Here is a 21,742-nt window from a genome sequence, read left to right as displayed (position 1 = left end):
TAGGATTCTGGTCCCAGCTGTGGAAGGGGGCTTCAGCTAGCTGGAGTGCCACAACTCTGGGCTATGTATGCTTTACAATAAGTGGAGGACATTACAAAGTGGGTCCTAGTGCTAGTACGCACCCAGTACCAATAGCAGGTTGACTAAAGGGTACCTTCCGGAAGCTAAAGCCTGGGAATGCCCAAACACAGACTGTAGCCAAAAGGCATGCATACCTCAACAAAGGAGCACATTCATTAATAGCCCCTTGAGCACAGAGCTCCATTTGGTGCTCAGTACTGTCACCTATGTAACATCTGAAAGACAGTCTTTGAAAGAGGCCGCTGAACCTCCACAGATTTCCTCCTTTGTACAGGAGGGACAGGGCCCAATTCTTGACCAGATCTGGTACACAGAGAGCTTGCTATGAGGCAATCCTTGCACATGGACAGCTGCAGCCATCCAGCTGTCCACTGACAGGATCTGGCTTGATACAGGCCTAGGACTTAGTAACAAATGGGCTAAGCTGAGAGCCACCTAGACGATCCTCCTCTATGAGCCGGACCCAATAGTCTTGTGTACCAACAGCTGGGCCATCTTTAAGGGACTTGCTATGTGGCTACCACAAGGAGAAGCTCAGGATTGGACAGTAGCAGGCTGCCTGCTTTGGGGTGCTGGCATGTGGAAGGACATTCTCTGTCACATCCAGGGAATGCATGTAACAGTCTTCCATGTGGATGCCCACACTGCATCTACGCCATCTGGAAATCAACATGAGAACAAGCTAGCCTGCATTCATCTCTTCAAGGTAGTCCCCACAGACGTGGCCCACTGGCTGCCCAAAAAGACAGGACTTTGGGGACAGCATTCCCTTTGGGCCACAGTGAAGAATTAGGGCCTGCCACTATGACATAAAGACATAGTACACCTCTGTCAGCAATGTCCTACCCATGCACAGGAATGCCCTAGGCCCTTGCCACACAATACTGGAGAGATCCCCTGGGGCCAGAGTCCAGTACAATGGTGGCAGGTAGACTACATAGGGCATTTGTTTCTATCTAATGGCTGCTACTATACCTTGACTTATGTGGACACCTGCACAGGGCTACCACAGTCATATCCCAGCAAGCATGCTACCCAGAAAACTATCATAAAAGGACTAGAGTGGCTGTGTGTGGCCTATGGTGTCCCCACCAATATCAATAGTGACCAGGGCTTGCACTTTACCAGACATAAAGTGTAGGAATGGGTGGAGGCCCTGGATATCCACTGACATTTCCACCTGCTGTACATCCCTGCAGCCGTGGGGCTGATTTAAAGGATGAATGGACTGTTGAAGCAACAACTCCAGCAGGAGACGCACTCTGGCTCTGTGGACACACCATTTACCAGCAGTTGTCTGCACCCTGAATGAACATGGCGTTCTCATCACCAGTGCCTATGTCCTTCCGATGCAAGAACGTGATACCACTCTCAGGATCCAGGTGGACAAGGTAAGGGACGATACTCCTTTGTCCCATCCTGAGACTCAAGATAACCTGTGATTGTCCTTGCCACAGGACCTGTCCACTGGGGAGCACATCATTATGTGGTCTTGGAAATGGCAAGCCAGTCCCCGATGCTTTGGTTTTTCCACTCCATGGGGGAAGGGCCTAGACCAAGATACACAGGTCACACCTATTTTGCGCCCTGCTCCCCATCATATTTCTAAAATAATGAATCCTGGTCCTCCCTTGTGAAAGGGGATGATCATCCTCTCATTATGAAACATCATGATACTCCCATTGTCTTATTCTGGCCTCCCGCAATGCATCCCAGAGGGGGCCAATCCATTTGGTGATGTCAGCCAGGTCCCAGGCCACTGCCAAGGATGACGCTTTCTCAGAACAATACAACTTCCTGTGTCTTGTTGAACGGCTGTTATTGCCCTTCCTTGTACCCACTAAACATCTCATCTTCCACCCACAGATGGTGTGCAGCAGACCCTCTTTACCAACTGGGCACAGATGGTGGCCTCTCTCCAGAACAAAACAGACTGTTGGGCCTGTGAAGAGCTGCCCCTCTCCTCCATCATAAGCCTGCTGTGGTGAATCCAAAATTAACTCCCAAGTTGGATTATTTTTTGTTTTAGTTTGCATTGCTGCTGCAGCAGTCTGGCAGCGATGCTTCTCCACATTACCTGGCCCCAGGGAAATCATGGAAGAATAGCGTGATAAAAATGTGAGAGCTGTTCCAGGGTAGCTGGGGTGGACTGTATGGTAGAAGCACCTGATAGCAGTACCTTAACTTAGCCATAACCTGAGAATGGCCCTGTATGGCAGAGGCACCTGAATGTGTGTTCAGAGTTCCAAGCTGAGGAATCCAGGAGTGGCCAACCCAGGCATTCATTCCTTATCTATGAGGAACATCTGAGCCCCTGGCCTGTCTAGTGAAACACAGGCCATACAGGGGATTGAGGCCCTTTGTTTTGGGTTAAGTGAAGGTTGCCAGGTGAAGATGGTTAGGGGGAGGGTGCTTAGTGAAAATGCTATATAAACTACATGCTTTTTGCAAGTGGTTACAGTTCTCCTGCCCAGCCTGCTGCCTCTGGGCCGTATGGTTCTCCAGCCCAGCACCCCCTCACTGGGCTGTGTGGTTCTCCTGTCCAGCCTGCCGCCACTGGCCCTCCCTCTTTGTAGGTTTCCTGCTAATAAAGCCCTATGTCCTGTTTGCTGGCTCTGGGTCTCTTCTTCAGTCTCTTGAACATGTTGCCATCCCTGTTGAGGTTAATAGGGGTTCAGCATTACATCAGTATAACATGAAAAAAAATTAGTGACATGACCAAATTTTAAAATATCTTCCTTAAAATATTCAATTATAAAACATAATGCAGAATGTCAAGAAGACAGAATCAGCATATGCAGAAATAACCCCTTCCTACACTGAGTCAAGAAAAATAATAGAGAATATACTAAAAGAATTTAATATAAATATAGCTGCATTGAAATCAGAGGGTAATTCTCAGCAGAATAATGTGAGCACTATTTTAAATAAGGAAAGTAAGGAAAACTCAGTCTCTGCAAGACATTAAAGCAAGAAGCATCAGAGATCACAGCAGAAAAGCTACTATGGAAAAGCAAGATACTCCTAACATCTGGAGATAGTCAACACCACGAAAGAGAGATGACAGATCCAACAAACAGAATAATTTACAAGCTGATGAAACAGTAAAATGAGTATTCAGAACAGGGCTTAAAACATGTATATTTAATATCCTGAAAAGATAAAGATGGTAAATGCCACCAAACAAGAAACAGGAGATCATAACAGGCTAATGGACATTTCAAGAAATGAAACAAGTGACCTGGGAAAATTTTAAAATGATAGTGTGAAAGGTGATACGCAAAATGGTGTCACTCTGGTTCAAGCTCTCAAATGGAATTGGGAAGCCATTCTAAGAAGGACTGCCTGCATATCCCGTAGACTTGAAGGAAGAAAAAACCAAACAAACCCAGAAACTTGTCTTGTACCTTTGAGCTGAGCCAAACTTCCATGTCCACAGCAGCCTGGAAAACAGCTGAATTTAATTCCTGAGCAATAAAAACTAAAAATAAAATCCTAAGCCCCCCAGCCAACCAAACAGACCCTTCTTGGCCAAGGGGACTTCAGAGAAACCTTAAAAACTGAGTTCCAGGCCATGAAGGGATGGGAGGTCAGACATGCCTCATTGTACCCCCTCCCTTCTGCAGCTTAATGCTGGTCAGTTGTCTAATGTTAAAATAGAGCTCATAAGACTGACAGAATGGACTCTTTGTAGTAAGAAGATACCAAATTATAAATAGACCTAATGTCATGCCAGGCAAGGGTTAAGTTATGTATGCCTACATTTTAAGAATAAACTATGTTCTAATTGCTTCTTCTTTTCCTCTATCAGCAAAACAAGTGCTGGCCTTGAGATAAGCAATATTAAAACAATTGCAGCTCATCCACCACCAATGCTAACTCATCCCCTCTTCCACAAGCCATACCTACAGCTTTAATTGGACAAGAGACCTATATCAGTAACTTTCATGGATAAAAGACCACAGACTATGGACTGGTGATGGCTGATTTACAGAGGCTGTGAACTTGAGTGTCTTTGTGTCCCTACTTCACCTTTTGACATATAGGGCCTAACTGTAATACATTTCAATGTTAAATCTCTGTCCCAAAGTGAACATGGAATGCATGTAACATGCATGCTTGCTTATCACACACGTGTACATCCCCACTTTGTGAATATTCATAAGTCCTCTTATAAGCTAATGAATATGTATATTTAGCCAACCTGTTCAGAATAAATTTCTATCTCATCCTTCCCTTCCTAGAAGTGCCTGCTAATGGTCTCTGCTAGAGGCTGTACTTCCCAGGCTGCAGAATGGCCAGCCTGGTAGGCTGTAACCCTTTACAAGAAAGTCTCCTCTCCAAAGTTAAGATCTCAAGATTCTTATGTTGACAGTAACAATCAAAGAACTACGGACTCCTGTACTAAGCCACCCCCTTCACCAATGATAATTCTTTCAACACAACTTATGTAATCACCCTTAGCTTCTTTTTGATTTTTTCTTAAAACCCCCTATTCTCCACCTCTCTTCACAACACAGTTTGGCTTCCAGCTGAATCTGTGACTCTTAAATTGCAATTTCTAGGACTCCAATAAATTCCCTGATTTATTGCATTGTAGTCTGGTCTTTAGCCTCTTGTTGGTTGACAACAGCTTGAGAAGAAAATTGGTGGCTGCAACATTGAGGAATTCTTCCAAAGAAATAAAATTATATATATAATATGATATAATTATATATAATAAATATATAAAGAGATTATATATAATATATAAATATATATAAAGAGATTATATATAATTATATTATATATTTATATAATTATATTATATATTTATAAATTATATTATATATATTTATATAATTATATTATATATTTATAAATTATATTATATATATTTACATAATTATATTATATATTTATATAATTATATTATATATTTATATAATTATATTATATATCTTTATATAATTATATTATATACAATATAATTATATTATATATTTATATAATTATATTATATATTTATATAATTATATTATATATCTTTATATAATTATATTATATATTTATATAATTATATTATATATCTTTATATAATTATATTATATCTTTATATAATTATATTATATATCTTTATATAATTATCTTATATATCTTTATATAATTATATTATATATTTATATAATTATCTTATATATCTTTATATAATTATATATTTATATAATTATCTTATATATCTTTATATAATTATATATTTATATAATTATCTTATATATCTTTATATAATTATATATTTATATAATTATATTATATATATTTATATAATTATATATTTATATAATTATATTATGTATATTTATATAATTATATATTTATATAATTATATTATATATTTATATAATTATATATTTATATAATTATATTATATATATAATATAATTATATATTTATATAATTATATTATATATATAATATAATTATATATTTATATAATTATATTATATATATTTATATAATTATATTATATATTTATATAATTATATTATATATTTATATAATTATATTTATTTATATAATTATATTATATATTTATATAATTATATTATATATTTATATAATTATATAAATTTATATAATTATATTATATATATTTATATAATTATATTATATATATTTATATAATTATATATTTATATAATTATATTATATATTTATATAATATTATATATAATATATATTTAATATATTAATAATTAATAATATATATTTATATATAAAATATATAATTGTATAATACATATGTTATATATTGTATATCATTATATTATGTATAGTATATATTATATATAGTATATAATATATAATATATAGTATATAGTATGTAATATATATTATATATAGTATATAGTATATAATATATATTATATATAGTATATAATATATAGTATATACTATATATTATATAGTATATAATATATATTATATATAGTATATATTATATAGTATATAGTATATAATATATTATATATTATATTACAGTATATACTATATTATATATTATATTACATGATATATAATATATTATATTACATGATATATAATATATTATATTACATGATATATAATATATTATATTACATGATATATATTATATTACATGATATATATTATATTACATGATATATAATATATTATATTACATGATATATATTATATATTACATGATATATATTATATTACATGATATATATTACATATTATATTACATGATATATGATATATGATATATTATATATAATGATATATTATATATGATATATTATATATAATGATATATTATATATGATATATTATATATAATGATATATTATATATGATATATTATATATAATGATATATTATATATGATATATTATATATGATATATTATATATGATATATTATATTATATAATGATACATTATATATAATATATATTATATTATATAATGATATATGATATATAATATATCATATATAATATATCATGATATATGATATATTATACATATTATATAACATGATATATGATATATTATATATAATGATATATTATATATAATATATAACTGATATATATAATGATATATTATATATTATATGTAACATATAATATATTATATATAATGATATATTATATATTATATATAATGATATATATTATGTATTATATATAATGATATATATTATATATTATATAACATATATATTAATTATATTAAAGATTATATTATATATAATATTGTATATTAAGCATAATATGATATTAATATTATATATTAAGTGTAAGAAGACCCTATATTTTTATTTAGCAGTTCTTTTTTATTGAAGGATTGTAATCATTCTTAAATTCTGAAAAAAATATTGACCATAGATTTTTCCAGTATTTTTTCTTCCATCTTCTCTATTCTCTTACTTAGAACTCCTATTTGTTGAAACTGTATTTAAACTTCCTTTCTTTTATATCATATATATCAATATATGATATTATATATGATATAAATTATATATATGATATACATAAATTATATATATATATAAATGTTTTCTTTTTTTTGTGACAGAGTCTCACGCTTGTCACCCAGGCTGGAGTGCAATGGCACAATCTCCGCTCACTGCAACCTCTGCCTTCCGGGTTCAAGCAATTCTCCTGCCTCAGCCTTCTGAGGAGCTGGGATTACAGGCACCTGCCACCACGCCCAGCTAATTTTTGTATTTTTAGTAGACACGGGGTTTCACCACATTGGCCAGGCTGGTCTTGAACTCCTGACCTCAGGTGATGTGCCCGCCTCGGCCTCCCAAGGTGCTGGGATTACAGGTGTGAGTCACCACAGCTGGCCAAGAGATCCAAAATATAAAAGAGAAAGGAAGTTTAGATACAGTTTCAACAAATAGGAGTTCTAAGTAAGAGAACAGAGAAGATGGAAGAAAGAAAATACTGGAAAAATCTATGGTCAATATTTTTTTCAGAATTTAAGAATGATTACAATCCTTCAATAAAAAAGAACTGCTAAATAAAAATATAGGGTCTTCTTACACTTCAATATGGTAGAATTTCAGAACATTTAGGATAAAGACAATTTTCTAAAAGCTAAGAGAGAAAGGTCAGATTACCTCCAAAGGAATGCAAATCAAATTGATATCAGATTTCTCAGCAGCATCATTAGGTTGCAAGAAGATAGTAATGCACTATTTTCAAAATGTTGAAAGAACAAAAAGTTTAAGAAGACAAAACTTTTTGCTGCCAAAAATGTAGTTCACTTATAATGGAGCACAAAACGTTTCCCTTCTTGCAAGAAAATCAGCCATATGAATAAAGAGCCTTAACGATGTTCAAATTCTTTAACCTATCTAGGAATCTACGTTCCGAAGTGATAATCAGAAATGCAGTACATCACAAATGCAATAAGCCCTAGTGCAGCACTTTCAACAGCAAAAATTGTAACATTCCAAATATTCAAAATTAGGGGAAGAATTAATCATAGTTCAGCCATATGAATAAATACTTGCCATCATTAATACAGTGAAAAGACTAATGAAATAAGGAGCATCACTTAGAACAGCAAACCAAAAGTGTTCAAACAGTTATGATGCTTATTATCTCACTTTAGAATTTTGGAGGTAGAAAAAAAGCAATTAGTTAACTCTGGCAAATACTGCTTGCTGTCATCCAATATTTATTCTCCTTTCTCTGAAAGAGAACCCTGATTTTAGGTGGGCACATGGCCGCCCCCGAAATTACCACCTTTTGCAGACTCTATAAATACTAAATACTAGTCAATGTGATATAAGCTGATGTGTCATACGGCTTCCAAGAAGTGTCAAAGTAAGGGTGGGGGGAAGTGCATTTCCTACTTGCTGACTGGAATTCAGAAGTCATAGCTGGAAATCAGGCAGCCATCTTGGCCTATGAAGAGGAAGCCACATCCTGAGAATGGTAGGGTAGAAAAAAAGAAGGAATCAGGATCTCTAACACCAAGGAGGACGATGTCTGCTCTGGAACACCTACTTCTAGACCGTTTTTACAAGACAGAGAAATAAACTGCAATTAAGACACTGTTGAGTCTTCTGATACACACATCTGAACCGAATCCCAAAATCTCGGCTCTACCCTTAGAGTTCCTGATTCAGTAGGTCTGGGGATAGGGCCTTATAATTTCCATTTCTAACTAGGTCCCAGGTGATGTTAATGCAGCTTGTCTGGGGACCATACCTGAAGAACCACTGCACTAATGGAGGTAATAACTTAGTAGTTTTCAAGCTGTGCTTTACATTAGAATCACTGGAAAAGAGGGAGGCTTTAAAACACACACACACACACACACACACACACACACACACACACACCCAAGGCTAATTTCAGAAACTCTAACTGGTCTGGGCCAGATGATTCTAAGGTGTAGACTGAATGATGTAACTCTTTCCCTACTTACTGAAACAATAGTAATGAGAAAGAAATACCTGTGTTTCCTCACAGAGTGGGGGTTGATATTTAGAAAGCTGCTCTTGATGGCCCAGAACTTGAAGCCAAAAGACTGAATTTAATTCCCTGATCTTAGACAGTTATGAGGACCTAGAACAACGTAGTATCTCTGGACCTTGGTTACATTATTTGCAAAATGGTGATGAAAATATTTACATCATTGGGTTTTTGTGTAGATTATGTAATATAGGTGAAAGTACTTTATATTACACAGAATAAGGGAGGCCCAGCTGATTTTCTATGGAGAATCTGAGTTAGTTTAGCCCTACGACTGAACTGAATAAATGGAAAAAATAGGAGAAAAACAATAGAGAACATAAGAAATAACATAGGACTCATCTGTGACTCCCTGCCAGAGGACTGGAATGTGTGATAAGATCCACCGTACCTCCTGTGATGCGTGCTGCTCCCTCTTCCTTTTCTTGACTTATTATCATGAGTATATTTTCAACAGGTGTTCCTAGTCTGAAATAACTCCTCAGGTGATATTCCTGGCCTGAAGCACACAGACCTTGTCTGTATAGAAGTAGGTGTTAAAGAATGGATATTCTAGTGATTAGGATCATTATACTGCCATCATTAACCAGAACCTGAAATCACCAGTCTCTGCAATGGTTCCCAGGTGGCTGTTTTATATTTAGGTGTCTGGCTGCGGATGTACCAGATGTCGCAAATTGACCCTTTCTTCTTTCAGGATAAAGGGGGATTTAGATTGGGTCCTTGAGGGCCTCAGGTGCCAGACTGAATTTGGACTTTATTCTGTAGCCTGTATAAATCACTGGTTTTAATCCCAGAAGTGTCAAAGCATGGTGCTCTGAGAGCATCAGCCAGGGGCCTGTGTAATGGGTTAGACTGAGCTGAGGCTGAAATCAAGATGACCAGCATAGAGGTTACTGAAGTAATACCGTAACAGAGTAGAAGCAATAGAAGTTGATGGGAAATAATAAATGCAAGAGATAGGGTGGATGAAAATGAACAGCACTTGGTCATTCATAAGTGTCAAATTTTTTTTGGTAAATACTGGTATCCTTCAATAACTAAAGATTGACAAGGCTATCTTTCTCCTCCCTCGGTACTAGGTAGTGTCATACAGTTAAAACAAGTCTCAGACTGAATGCTACTACACAAATCTTATCAGCAAGCAGACACAAAAAACAGTACACAAACAGTACTTTGTGGCAAAATATTAAACAGAAGTCTAGACTAAGCCATTCTGAAGGCTGTCGGTCTGCTACACAGCAGATTTCTACGCCACAGTTATGCATAAGTGCTTGTACAGTATTCTAACCAGCCACGTATTTTGAACATCTTGTTTCCACAATGAAGAATTCTTTCTAATCCTTTATGCTAACTAAGGTACATCTAGTGCAGATTTACATGGTGATACTGGAAGCATCTGTGCATTCAACTCTGCAGTGAACATTTTTGATTAGTCTTTCAAATGCTAATTACCCACCCTGGGCTGTGCAGATTAACTTTCAAACATACACACATCTCACTGAAGTATTCTAAAGTATAAGGACAAGATAACAAGCATCAAAAATGGTTTTAAAGTCATAAGGCAGAAGACCATGTTAGAGGAAGATGATGAAAAACCACTGATTTAGTGAGCTGGTCTTAGTGCTAAGCAACTGAATGCAGCTGTAGCTAATTTAAGCAGAAAGTAAGTTTACTAGAGGACGCTAAGTAGTTCAAAGGATAGCTGGAGATTGAGGCTTGCACCTACATGGCCAGAATCTACCTTGGCTGTTACCGGTGGAAGGTGTCCAGGTTCTTGGCATCTTGAACAAGGAATTAGACAAAACGCACAAACAAAGCAAGGAAGGAATGAAGCAACAAAAGCAGAGATTTATTGAAAATGAAAGTACACTCCACAGGGTGTGAAGAGCCGGAACATGGGGCTCAAGAGCGGGGCGGCCGGGTTATAGAATTTTCTGGGGTATAAACACCCTCTAGAGGTTTCCCATTGGCCACTTGGTGTACACCCCACGCAAATATAGTGGCCCACAATCAGTCTGATAGCGGAAAGCAACCAATCAGAGCCTGAAGCGAAGTTACAAAGGTTACACCCTATGCAAACATTTAATTAGTTATGGAAAGCAACCAATCCGAGGTACTTTCAATTTTCCGTCTGCCACGCAGAAAAGGGCGGTGGTGGGGGAGGGGGCCGGGTCCCTTTGTTACTTAGCTGTGGAAAGTTGGGGCTTTCCTTTTGATTTAGTTCTAGAAAGTCAGCATGAATCAGCCGTAAGTTCCTTGCCTCCAGACCCTATTGTCCTGCCTCACAGCTATGTAGTACAGAGTCTGTCACAGGCTACCCAGAAATGTACACAGAGACTGTTAACAGGCTACAGAACAGATTGGGAAAGGGCTCTGGGGTTGTGACCCTCACCAAGCACAGGCATCTTGCATCTCTGACATGTTAATGGTGGATGCCAGCACTCTCACTACTGCCTCGGAAGCTTACCTTGCTGTTAGGGATGGGTTCTCGATCTCTACACTTGCTATACTCCTACAGGTGACCTGGGAGTGTAGCTTTCTGTGCCTTTTTTGACTCATGGCTTCCAGCGGGTACACATGATTAGTTAAACAAGTGTTCAGCATTTCAGCGGCAGCCATTAGACTCTTAACTCAGGTGGGGAATTCTCCAAATACGGAAGGGGATTCAAATGGGGGGCATAATAAATGTATATAAATGTCCATTAAAGGCAAGTTGAGTTGGAAGTGATGACAATATATTTGAGTAGAAACATCTAGCAGGTAGTTGGAAATGTGGCACTCGTGTTCCCCAGAGAGCTAGTTACAGATTTGGGAAGTTGAGTTGTGATTGCTTTTAAAATCAGGAGTCTAGAGAGAATCTAACTCAAAATTTTCATCCACATATGCAGAATCTCAATCTGAGAGTTGTTCATTCCTATAGATGTGCTGGCCACACCAACCCCCAACATCTATTATGAAAATTAGGAAATTCACACTCTATTATGGAAAATAGGAAAAATATATAGATAATACATGCAAAACAAGTGGGAGGAGAGAACTACGGATCGTGGAGAGCCTATTGCATATTATTATTTTACAAATATTTAAGTGCCAACTATGTGTCAGGCACTATGCTAAGGTGATTTAATGTTGAGCAAAACCCGACATGTCCCTGCATTTGAGGAACTGAAAGGTCTGAGGGAGGGCCTAAGGAGCTTGGGCCTTAGCTGGTTACAAAGCCATATATTATGCCATATATATTAATGAGCAGCAACGCCTCCCGCAGTATTTACAGCCCACGCGTGGCAGTCCTGTCCACCCTGTCCCCGTTCGGTCCAGCCCGAGGCGGTGGCCTAGATGCTTGATGGGCACTGTCAGCCTGATCTTTGGTGGTCTTCCCGCTGTCTGTTCTCAGCTGCTGATTCCAGGTCCCAGGAGTCGACTTTGGCTTGAGGAAGGCAGGCGCCTTAGGTGGGGCAGTTGACACTCGCGCAGCGCCTTGCTCACCTGAGTGTGTGGCGGCGCGCGGGTTTGGGCGGGGAGGGGGCCGGGCCTCGGGAAGGAGGCGCGCCGCGCAGTTTGACCCCGGCGGCGTTCCGTACCGTCGCGGATTTCGGCGGCGGAAACATGGCGGTCGCGGCCGGGCCGGTAACGGAGAAAGTTTACGCCGACACTGGCCTGTATTAGCGCGTATGGCCTCGGGCCCTCGTTCCCCAAGGCGTGCCGCCTCCCTGTTCTCAGTCGCAGGCTGAAGCCTTGTCTGCTCTCCTCCTTTTTGGTTTGGTTTTGGAACTGACTCCGAGGGTTGGGAGAGCGCGTTGGTGGCGACGGCCGAGTCAGGTAGGGAGAAATGGGTGGACGGCAGGGCGGCGAGATCTAGGCATAGACACTGCCAGGGCTCCGCGTGGTCCGGACCCCAAGCTCCGCCCAGTCGGCCTCCCAGGGCCGGGGTAGGATACCTGCCTCTGGAGGAGTTGACAGTGGTGGTTGGAGATTGGAGGGTGTGGGAGCGCCTCTCCGTATTTCGCAAGGGTTCCCCCTCAACTGGGCGCCACGTTGTGGTCGCGTTCTCCGAGGCAGAGGATGGTGGAGAACAGCCAAGCTCCTTGTCGGACCTCCCACATCTCGCTAGAAGGAGGCCGAAAGGGAGAGAAATTGCTGTTGCTGCTCTAGTGCTGAGGAGTTTGATATTCTAGATGACATTTTCCTCGTATGAGATGGCTCAAAGAGTTATCAGTAATTCAGAACTGAAGCACTGAAATTCCCTGTTTTTTCAGTGTAGTTCTTTCAGCCTTGACACTTCTAGATGGGACAGAGTTTCTGAGTGAAAGATAATGCAAGTGATACGGTATGCCTCAAGCCATTCCCTAGAGGTAGGACATGGAGAGAGAATTGGTTTGGAAGAATTTGGGTGAATTAAGTAAAGACTGGTGGAAAGCTGAAATAGAAACCAAACATTCATGGACTCTCCCTTAGTTCTACTAGTTATTAGTTGTGGGATATAGCTAAGTTCTGTATTCTCTTTAGGCATTAGTAAGTGTCCAATGGTGACTATTGTTGTTAAATGTAGTTATTTCTTTATTAGTCTTTATTTTTCAACAAGTATTTATTGAATACCTTCTTGATGCCGGATTTTTGCTAGTCACTGGGTGTACAGTATTGAAGACAAACCCTCAGAGACCTTTTGATCTAGTGGGAAATGCAGACATGAAATAAGTGATGGTATGTAACAGAGAAAGTATGGGGGTCATGTAATGGGGAGGGGGCAGGGATAATCTCTTAAGAAAATGATTTATCTGAGACCTGAAGAGTTGGAATAAGCCAGGTGTGAGCACTGGGGTGGGGCCAGGAGGAGGAAAAGGAGTGTACCTGGCAAGGGAATAGCATTTGTGCAGTTTGTAATTGAAAGGTCAGTAAGGTTGGAAAATAAAGTGTGAGAGGAAAACTGGTAACAGATAAGGCAGGAGAGTTATTCAGGCCCAACACGGAGTGCCTTATAAGGCACTGTAAGGAGTTTTGACTTTATTGCTAAGGGTGATGGGACGCCATTGGAGCATTTTACATAGTGGAGTGCTAAATTTTGGTTTTAAAAAGTACACTTCTTAGAGAGGGCAAGAGTGGATACAGGGAAATGTTCAACATGATGGTGGCCAAAATTGGGATGGTGACCCTGGGGACGAGAAGTAGAAACATTTAAAAAATGTTTAGGAAGAATAGTAGACAGGACTTGGTGAGGATTAAATGTAGATGATGGTGGAGAGGAGGGTTAGAATAGTATGTAAGGTTTTATGAAATAATCAGACTCTGGCAGTGATTGGTTAGCTTTTCCCATATGCATATTGACTCCTCTATGGTCCATTTTCATCTACCTCTGGAATAATTGTCCATTGAATCATTAGTGACGGCAAACCGATTGAAAAGGAATGTAATGTTTTTCTGTTATTCTCTAACTCAGGCTGTCTTTTGAAGAAGATCAGAATGGGGAAGAGTTTTGTAAATTAGCCATTTAAAAACAATCTGCCATGTTGATTTTGGTCCATAGGAAGGTAACTGCATATATTGCATTATATGGATGCACTGTACTTCACTAATTTTTTTTTTACATGTTTACATTTACTTTGTTTCCAGGTATTTACCTCTGTTAACAGTGCAGAACAGAGCTGGTGCTTCATTTTCTATAGGTAGATTAATATATGTGTGCACTTAAGTAGAGAGATAATAATCAAAGACATAGAAATAAATGACATTGCTTAGAGAAAGTATATAGTGAGAGAAAAGCCTAGGTTTGGGGTTGAACATCCAAAGGATGGGTTGAGAATGAAGAACCTTCAAGGAGACCGAGGAGGGGAAACCAATAAATTAAGAAAAAAAATCTGGGGAGTTAGTCTTTGGATGCCTGCAAAAAGGAATGGTTTGGAAGGTGAGAGAAGTCAACAATGTAAATTTGTTTAAAGAATATGCAGGATATGGCCGGGTGCAGTGGCTCACACCTGTAATCCCAGCACTTTGGGAGGCCAAGGCGGACGGATCACCTGAGGTCGGGAGTTCAAGACCAGCCTGACCAACATGGAGAAACCCCATCTCTACTAAAAATACAAAATTAGCCGGGCATGGTGGCACATGCCTGTAATTCCAGCTACTTGGGAGGCTGAGGCAGGAGAATCGCTTGAATCCGGGAGGCAGAGGTTGCGGTGAGCCGAGATCGCTCCATTGTATTCCAGCCTGGGCAACAAGAATGAAACTCTGTCTCAAAAAAAAAAAAAAAAAAAAAAAAAAAAAAAAAAAATGCCAGTCGCAGTGGCTCACGCCTGTAATCCCAGAACTTTGGGAGGCGAGGCGGGTGGATCACCTGAGGTCAGGAGTTTGAGACCAGCCTGGCCAATATGGTGAAACCCCGTCTCTACTAAAAATACAAAAATTAACTGGGCATGGCGATGGGCGCCTGTAATCCCAGCTACTCTGGAGGCTGAGGCAGGAGAATCACTTGAACCCGATAGTCAGAGGTTGCAGGAGAATCGCCTGAACCCGATAGTCGGAGGTTGCAGTGAGCCAAGATCCTGCCATTGCACTCCAGCCTGGACAACAGAGCGAGACTCCGTCCCCCCTTCCCCCTCCCCCCAAAAAAGAATATGCAGGATACTGAGTGAAAAGTACCCATTGGATTTAGGAATTTACAGGTCATTTCAACACTTAGCAGAGCAGTTGTGTGGTGGGAAACACCATTTAGTGGTTTGAAAAGTGAATGGGTAAGAAGTGAAGCAACTAAATACCAGCTGTCAAAAGGACACGAGATTGAGCTTCATAGAGGATATGGGGATGAGCAAGGATTGTTTTTGTTTTGTTTCTTTACTTTTTTGGTATTGTTTTTAAAAGAAACAGATTTATAAATGTTTAAATACTAATGGATAAAATAAAAGTGAGAGTTTGCAGAGAGAGGAGAGAGTCTGATGTTCTAGAAGAGGCGGAAGGAAAGATGCACAATATGGCTGAAAGGTTTAGCCTTAGATAGAGAAGCAACTGCCTTCTTTCCTTATATTCGGAGATATAAGTAGAGGTGGGTTTGTGGACTTGGAAACTCAAGTGAGCTCCCTTTTGATGACTCTCTAGGAGGCAGAGTCATCTGGTGAGAATGCAGTAGGAAGAAGTAGGGTATCAGAGATTTGAAGAGAGGAAATAGGGGTTTGAATAGTCACAAGAATGGGGAAGAATGTTGACCAGGGAAGGATGTTCCATGGATTTAGAGTGGCACCATTTAGCCTAGTATGTGAATTTCTTCCCCCCGTCCAGCAGTGTTCAGTAGTCTGAGCCCAGATTGTACCATCAGCTCTTTGAGGATATATATTCTAACGTATTTGTTGAATTATTTTATAACACACATTAGTGATGTTTAAAAAAAAAAAACTCAATGCATTCCAGATTTTGTCAGTTTCTCACACTCAAGTTAAAAAGATAAACCAAAATATACCAAAGGAAGACATTTTCTTTAACATTATGTGGTACCTTAAGACATGAGTGAATAAAGATGTAATTAAGGAAAATCAGTTGGAATACTTAAATAGACTTAGTTGTAAAAATAAAAAAAAATGTGCTTGTTGAACGTATAAAAGCAAAATAAGTAATAATACTCGGAACTTCCCAGAGACCCTAAGGTTGCTTTAGTAACATTCCTCTCCAGCCAGATGAGTACTAAGAGTTGATTCCAGGTTCTCATGTTTCTCTTGAGCCTTTTAGTGTACAGCTATTAAGAAAGTACAAATAAACTAATCAAAAACTCGTGGGTTTTTTTTGTTTATTTTTGGAGGCAGAGTCTCGCTCTATCCCCCAGGCTGGAGTCCAGTGGCGTGATCTCCGCTCACTGCAACCTCCGCCTCCTGGGTTCAAGCGATTCTCCTGTCTCAGCCTCTTGAGGCATTACAGATGCCTCCCACCACACCTGGCTAATTTTTGTATTTTTAGTAGAGACAGGGTTTTGTCATGTTGGCCAGGCTGGTCTTGAACTGCTGACCTCAAGTGATCCACCTTCCTCACCCTCCCAAAGTTCTGGGATTGCAGGAGAGAGCCACCGTGCCTGGCCCTAGTTTCTTTTTAAATATCTGATTGGGTTCTCTTTAGATAGCATTACCGTGAACCATTGATCAGTTCTTTTGAAACAGTATACTAGGAAATTTTGAAGAATTATTATAGATGGTTAAATCATTTTTTGACTACTATCATTTTTTAGGTGTGACTTGTGGAAGCTTTAATTTCGTGGGTCCACTAACAAATACTTGTAGTAACGTTTGTTTAAGTAGAATTGAAAAGTTCTTCATTTACTTTATAATGACTATTAGGGTGAGCATTTCAGTTTTTCATTTTTGACTCGGAATTTGTCAGGAATTGGTTTGCTATAGAGATAGTGTTTAGATTTGGAAAGCAAGTTTAGTAATCAAAGTAATTTAATAGAGATAAAAGTACAGGGAGAATTATGGCTCAACTTTAGGGACTGAGTAACTTTAATACTTTAATTCTAGTAAGTTTATTAGTTAAACAATGTAAAGACCTTGTGTAACATTCTAGAGCTGGCTTGTAAAAAGATGTAGGGGATATTTGGCAGGTCGTAATGGTTGCTGTTACTACTAATATATACAAGTGCTTTTCAAATTAGAGGTAACGATGAAGTCCTTCATTCACTTTAAGAACTAAGTAGCTTTCTCTTGTACCAAAACCTGCTACAATCTAAGCTAAAGCGAACATTTCACCTTTCCTTGTTGTTGAAAAACCAGATATTTAAACCAGAATGAATTAGGTGAATTCTTCACCATCTCTGGAAGAACAGTTCTATTCATGCAGTCATAGCATATGATGAGTAGAAAGCACAGCCATGTCTGTCTGGATAAACTGCCAAGTTTTAAGCCAGAAACAGTATTCATTAAGATATTGCAAATCAGGTTGTAAACTGGATTTCAGTTTTTAAACTGGATTTTTTCACTTTCTATATGCATCTTTATATAAAATAATGAGTAAATTATATAAAATTAACTCTGAAATATTGTTTTCTTCTTTTTAGATCACTATAAACAAAATTTCCACAAGAGAAAATGTTGAAATAGGAGTTGCGGATACATTGGATATACTGGATGAAATACAAGCGGTTAATTTTTGTAACGTGAGGGAAAAGCCCACATTGCTGGTTACATGTGTAAATCACTGCGTTATTGCTTTAGTCATTGTCTCTATTTAGCAATGACAAGACTGGAAGAAGTAAATAGAGAAGTGAACATGCATTCTTCAGTGCGGTATCTTGGCTATTTAGCCAGAATCAATTTATTGGTTGCTATATGCTTAGGTCTATACGTAAGATGGGAAAAAACAGCAAATTCCTTAATTTTGGTAATTTTTATTCTTGGTCTTTTTGTTCTTGGAATCGCCAGCATACTCTATTACTATTTTTCAATGGAAGCAGCAAGTTTAAGTCTCTCCAATCTTTGGTTTGGATTCTTGCTTGGCCTCCTATGTTTTCTTGATAATTCATCCTTTAAAAATGATGTAAAAGAAGAATCAACCAAATATTTGCTTCTAACATCCATAGTGTTAAGGATATTGTGCTCTCTGGTGGAGAGAATTTCTGGTTATGTCCGTCATCGGCCCACTTTACTAACCACAGTTGAATTTCTGGAGCTTGTTGGATTTGCCATTGCCAGCACAACTATGTTGGTGGAGAAGTCTCTGAGTGTCATTTTGCTTGTTGTAGCTCTGGCTATGCTGATTATTGATCTGAGAATGAAATCTTTCTTAGCTATTCCAAACTTAGTTATTTTTGCAGTTTTGTTATTTTTTTCCTCATTGGAAACTCCCAAAAATCCGATTGCTTTTGCGTGTTTTTTTATTTGCCTGATAACTGATCCTTTCCTTGACATTTATTTTAGTGGACTTTCAGTAACTGAAAGATGGAAACCCTTTTTGTACCGTGGAAGAATTTGCAGAAGACTTTCAGTCGTTTTTGCTGGAATGATTGAGCTTACATTTTTTATTCTTTCCGCATTCAAACTTAGAGACACTCACCTCTGGTATTTTGTAATACCTGGCTTTTCCATTTTTGGAATTTTCTGGATGATTTGTCATATTATTTTTCTTTTAACTCTTTGGGGATTCCATACCAAATTAAATGACTGCCATAAAGTATATTTTACTCACAGGACAGATTACAATAGCCTTGATAGAATCATGGCATCCAAAGGGATGCGCCATTTTTGCTTGATTTCAGAGCAGTTGGTGTTCTTTAGTCTTCTTGCAACAGCGATTTTGGGAGCAGTTTCCTGGCAGGTAAGCTTATTGTTTGTCCAGCAACCCCAATGACGTGTAATAAAATGCTAGCTTCAATAATTGAAATTAAAGTTATAAGGTCAAGTTCCTGATTTCAAAAGGATATTCATGTTTGCTCTTAATTTTGTTCATGGAATTGAAGCACTGAATGTGTTTCAAGAGGATAATTTATTTGATCTCTAGCAAAGAGGTACCAAAATGTTATGAACACTCAGCGTTGAGATGCCTCCCGCTTCCTGACTGTTCATTAGTGAAACACTCATCGATTAAAGAGTCTTAGAATACTAACATTTGGAAAGTATTTAAAGATTGTATTTTGATCCTTTAATTATACCCATGAGGAAACTGAAAGCCAAAGAAGACACATCCAGAGTCACTAGTACTAGCAGGAACAAGGTTACTTAACTTCTGTCTATTCCCTGGACTCCTCACTGTAACATGTTTCTTTTATGCAGCCATTTCTCTGAAGGTTTTATATAAAAGGTGATCAGATATATAACAACATAGCAGGTTCTTAATTATAGATTAGAGGTTATCCTAAGAAAGAAAACATGGGTTTCACAGTACCTTTGCTGCCCAGAAATGTTTTCTAAAAGGTTCTTGTAGACAAAGACATTTGTACAGTTGGAGTTTGCATCTGCAGTATTAACAAACCCAGTCTTCCATTAATTGAGCATGTATTGACTATGCACTATATGCCAGGCACTATAGTGGGTGCGGAAGATCTCAGGATGTCTGTCAAAGGTGGCACAGTCTCCAATGGGAGGAGGAAGAGGCTGGCATGTAAACAAACAATTATGATTACAGTGTGATAAATACTATAATCTGTGTACATCAGACTGGGATGTGGGGCATAAAGGAAAGTCAGCTCTGCTTGGTGCAGCTCTCTGTAAGAGTTTGTTGCTGCTGACTGATTTCTAGAGGAAAGTCAGCTCTGCTTGGTGCAGCTCTCTGCTTTGTAACAGTTTGTTGCTGCTGAGTGATTTCTAGAAGTGTGTTTTGAAGAGGGAGATGTGAAGACTTGCCTGGACATGGTGCTAGATTTCTAGTCAGCTGGGCTAGGGCAGGGATCCTGTGTGGGAGTCAGCCAAATGAGGAAAACATCTTGGGTGTGGCCTGAGGATATTGTCCTTACTTTGCTCTACTTGCTGGTGTTAGGTACTGTCAGAATTATGTTGTTGATGTCAAAAACTCAAGCATGAGTTTTCCTCCCTCTTCCTTGCCCCTCCTCCTGCTAGCTCCTTTCCCAGCCCTAAATACTTTTTCTTTTCCAAGTCAGCCTCATTCATGCTGGATGCCATTCCAGGCTTTCAAATTCTGTTAACCAAATATGAATATTTTCTTGGTCTCCAAACTTTTTCTTACCTAGTGGTCTTCAGATATGGTGTGTACCACTGGAGGTACACAAAAACTTTCCAAGGAGTCTGTCAGCAGAGATAATTTTAAGAGAATCAGTTTCCTGATTCTCACCTTCCATTCTACTCTTTCCTAAAGTTGATCTACTTGAGAATCCCTTTAGCTGTAGGTGATAGCATTGTGGTTTTAATTTATGTCTCTAATGACTAATGATGTTGAGCATCTTTTTATGTGTGTATTAGCCATTTACTTTGTTGTTTAAATATTCACATCTTTTGCTCATTTTAAAGCTGAGGTTATTTGTCTTTTAAGAGTTCCTTATATATTCTGGATACGAGCCCTTTGTCAGATAAATGATTTGGAAATGTTTACTCCCAGTCTGTGGCTTCTGTTTTTATTTTCTGAATGATACAAATTTTTGAAGAGTTTTCAAGAGTAAAGGTTTTTAATTTTACAGAGTCCAGTTTATCCACTTTTTCTTTTATGGGCTCTGCTTTTAGTATCTTATCTAAGAATTCTTTGCTCAACACTAGGTCACAGTTCTTTCAAAAGCATTATTGTTTTAACTGTTACATTTAGGTGTATGATCCATTTTGAGTATAGTATGAGATAAGGATCTAAGTTTGTTTTTTTTTTTTTAATATATAGATCTCATTGTTCCCAGCACCATTTGTTGAAAAGATTAACATTTCGCCTATTGAATTGCCTTGGCGTCTTTGTTTAAAATCAGTTAAACATAAACGTAAGGTTGTATTTTTGAGTTTTTTTGTTATATTGACCTATATGTCTACCATTGTGCTAGCACTATGCCATCTGGTGAGATGTTTTCTAATTTCCTTTGAAATTTCCTCTTTGACTCATGGGTTATTTATAAGTTTGTTGTGTGATATCCTAATATTTGGAAGTTTCTCACATTTCTTTCCATTGATTTCTAATTCCATGTAGTTGGAGAACACTGTGTGATTTTAGTCTTTTAGGCCACTTGTTTTGTGGCATGGCATGTTTTATTCCATGTTCACT

General features: G+C 37.9%; 1 protein-coding gene and 1 long non-coding RNA gene across 6 annotated transcripts in view, besides 2 other annotated features; both read left to right on the top strand.

Annotated features, from left to right (window-relative positions):
- Positions 1-286: 286 nt before the first annotated feature.
- Positions 287-2,688, top strand: LOC124901729 (uncharacterized). The gene is made up of 2 exons (XR_007060481.1): positions 287-1,472; positions 1,948-2,688. It is a non-coding gene; the product is annotated as an uncharacterized LOC124901729 (long non-coding RNA).
- Positions 12,283-12,412: an enhancer, noted in NCBI's record as "active region_26515". NCBI's record gives its function as "activates an Ori minimal core promoter by ATAC-STARR-seq in GM12878 lymphoblastoid cells {active_cell/tissue: GM12878}" and the evidence as "EXISTENCE:reporter gene assay evidence [ECO:0000049][PMID:35858748]".
- TMEM168 (transmembrane protein 168) overlaps positions 12,671-21,742 on the top strand; it is a 28,017-nt gene continuing 18,945 nt past the window's right edge. The window contains exons 1-3 of one of the 5 annotated variants that reach the window (NM_001287497.2): positions 12,671-12,904; positions 14,520-14,610; positions 18,111-19,366. In NM_001287497.2, coding sequence (NP_001274426.1) covers positions 18,239-19,366 — 1,128 coding nt within the window. In that variant the 5' untranslated portion in view covers positions 12,671-12,904; positions 14,520-14,610; positions 18,111-18,238. Of the gene's footprint in view, positions 13,787-14,519; positions 14,611-18,110; positions 19,367-21,742 lie in introns of all 5 variants that reach the window. The other 4 variants (XM_047420710.1, NM_022484.6, XM_017012523.3 and 1 more) reach the window with 4 other exon arrangements.
- Positions 20,074-20,533: an enhancer, noted in NCBI's record as "active region_26514". NCBI's record gives its function as "activates an Ori minimal core promoter by ATAC-STARR-seq in GM12878 lymphoblastoid cells {active_cell/tissue: GM12878}" and the evidence as "EXISTENCE:reporter gene assay evidence [ECO:0000049][PMID:35858748]".

Source organism: Homo sapiens, chromosome 7, assembly GCF_000001405.40.
Source record: "Homo sapiens chromosome 7, GRCh38.p14 Primary Assembly".
Classification (NCBI taxonomy): Eukaryota; Metazoa; Chordata; class Mammalia; order Primates; family Hominidae; genus Homo; species Homo sapiens.
The sequence above is the reverse complement of the archived record's forward strand: the minus strand, read 5'-3'. Positions and strand labels throughout refer to the sequence as shown.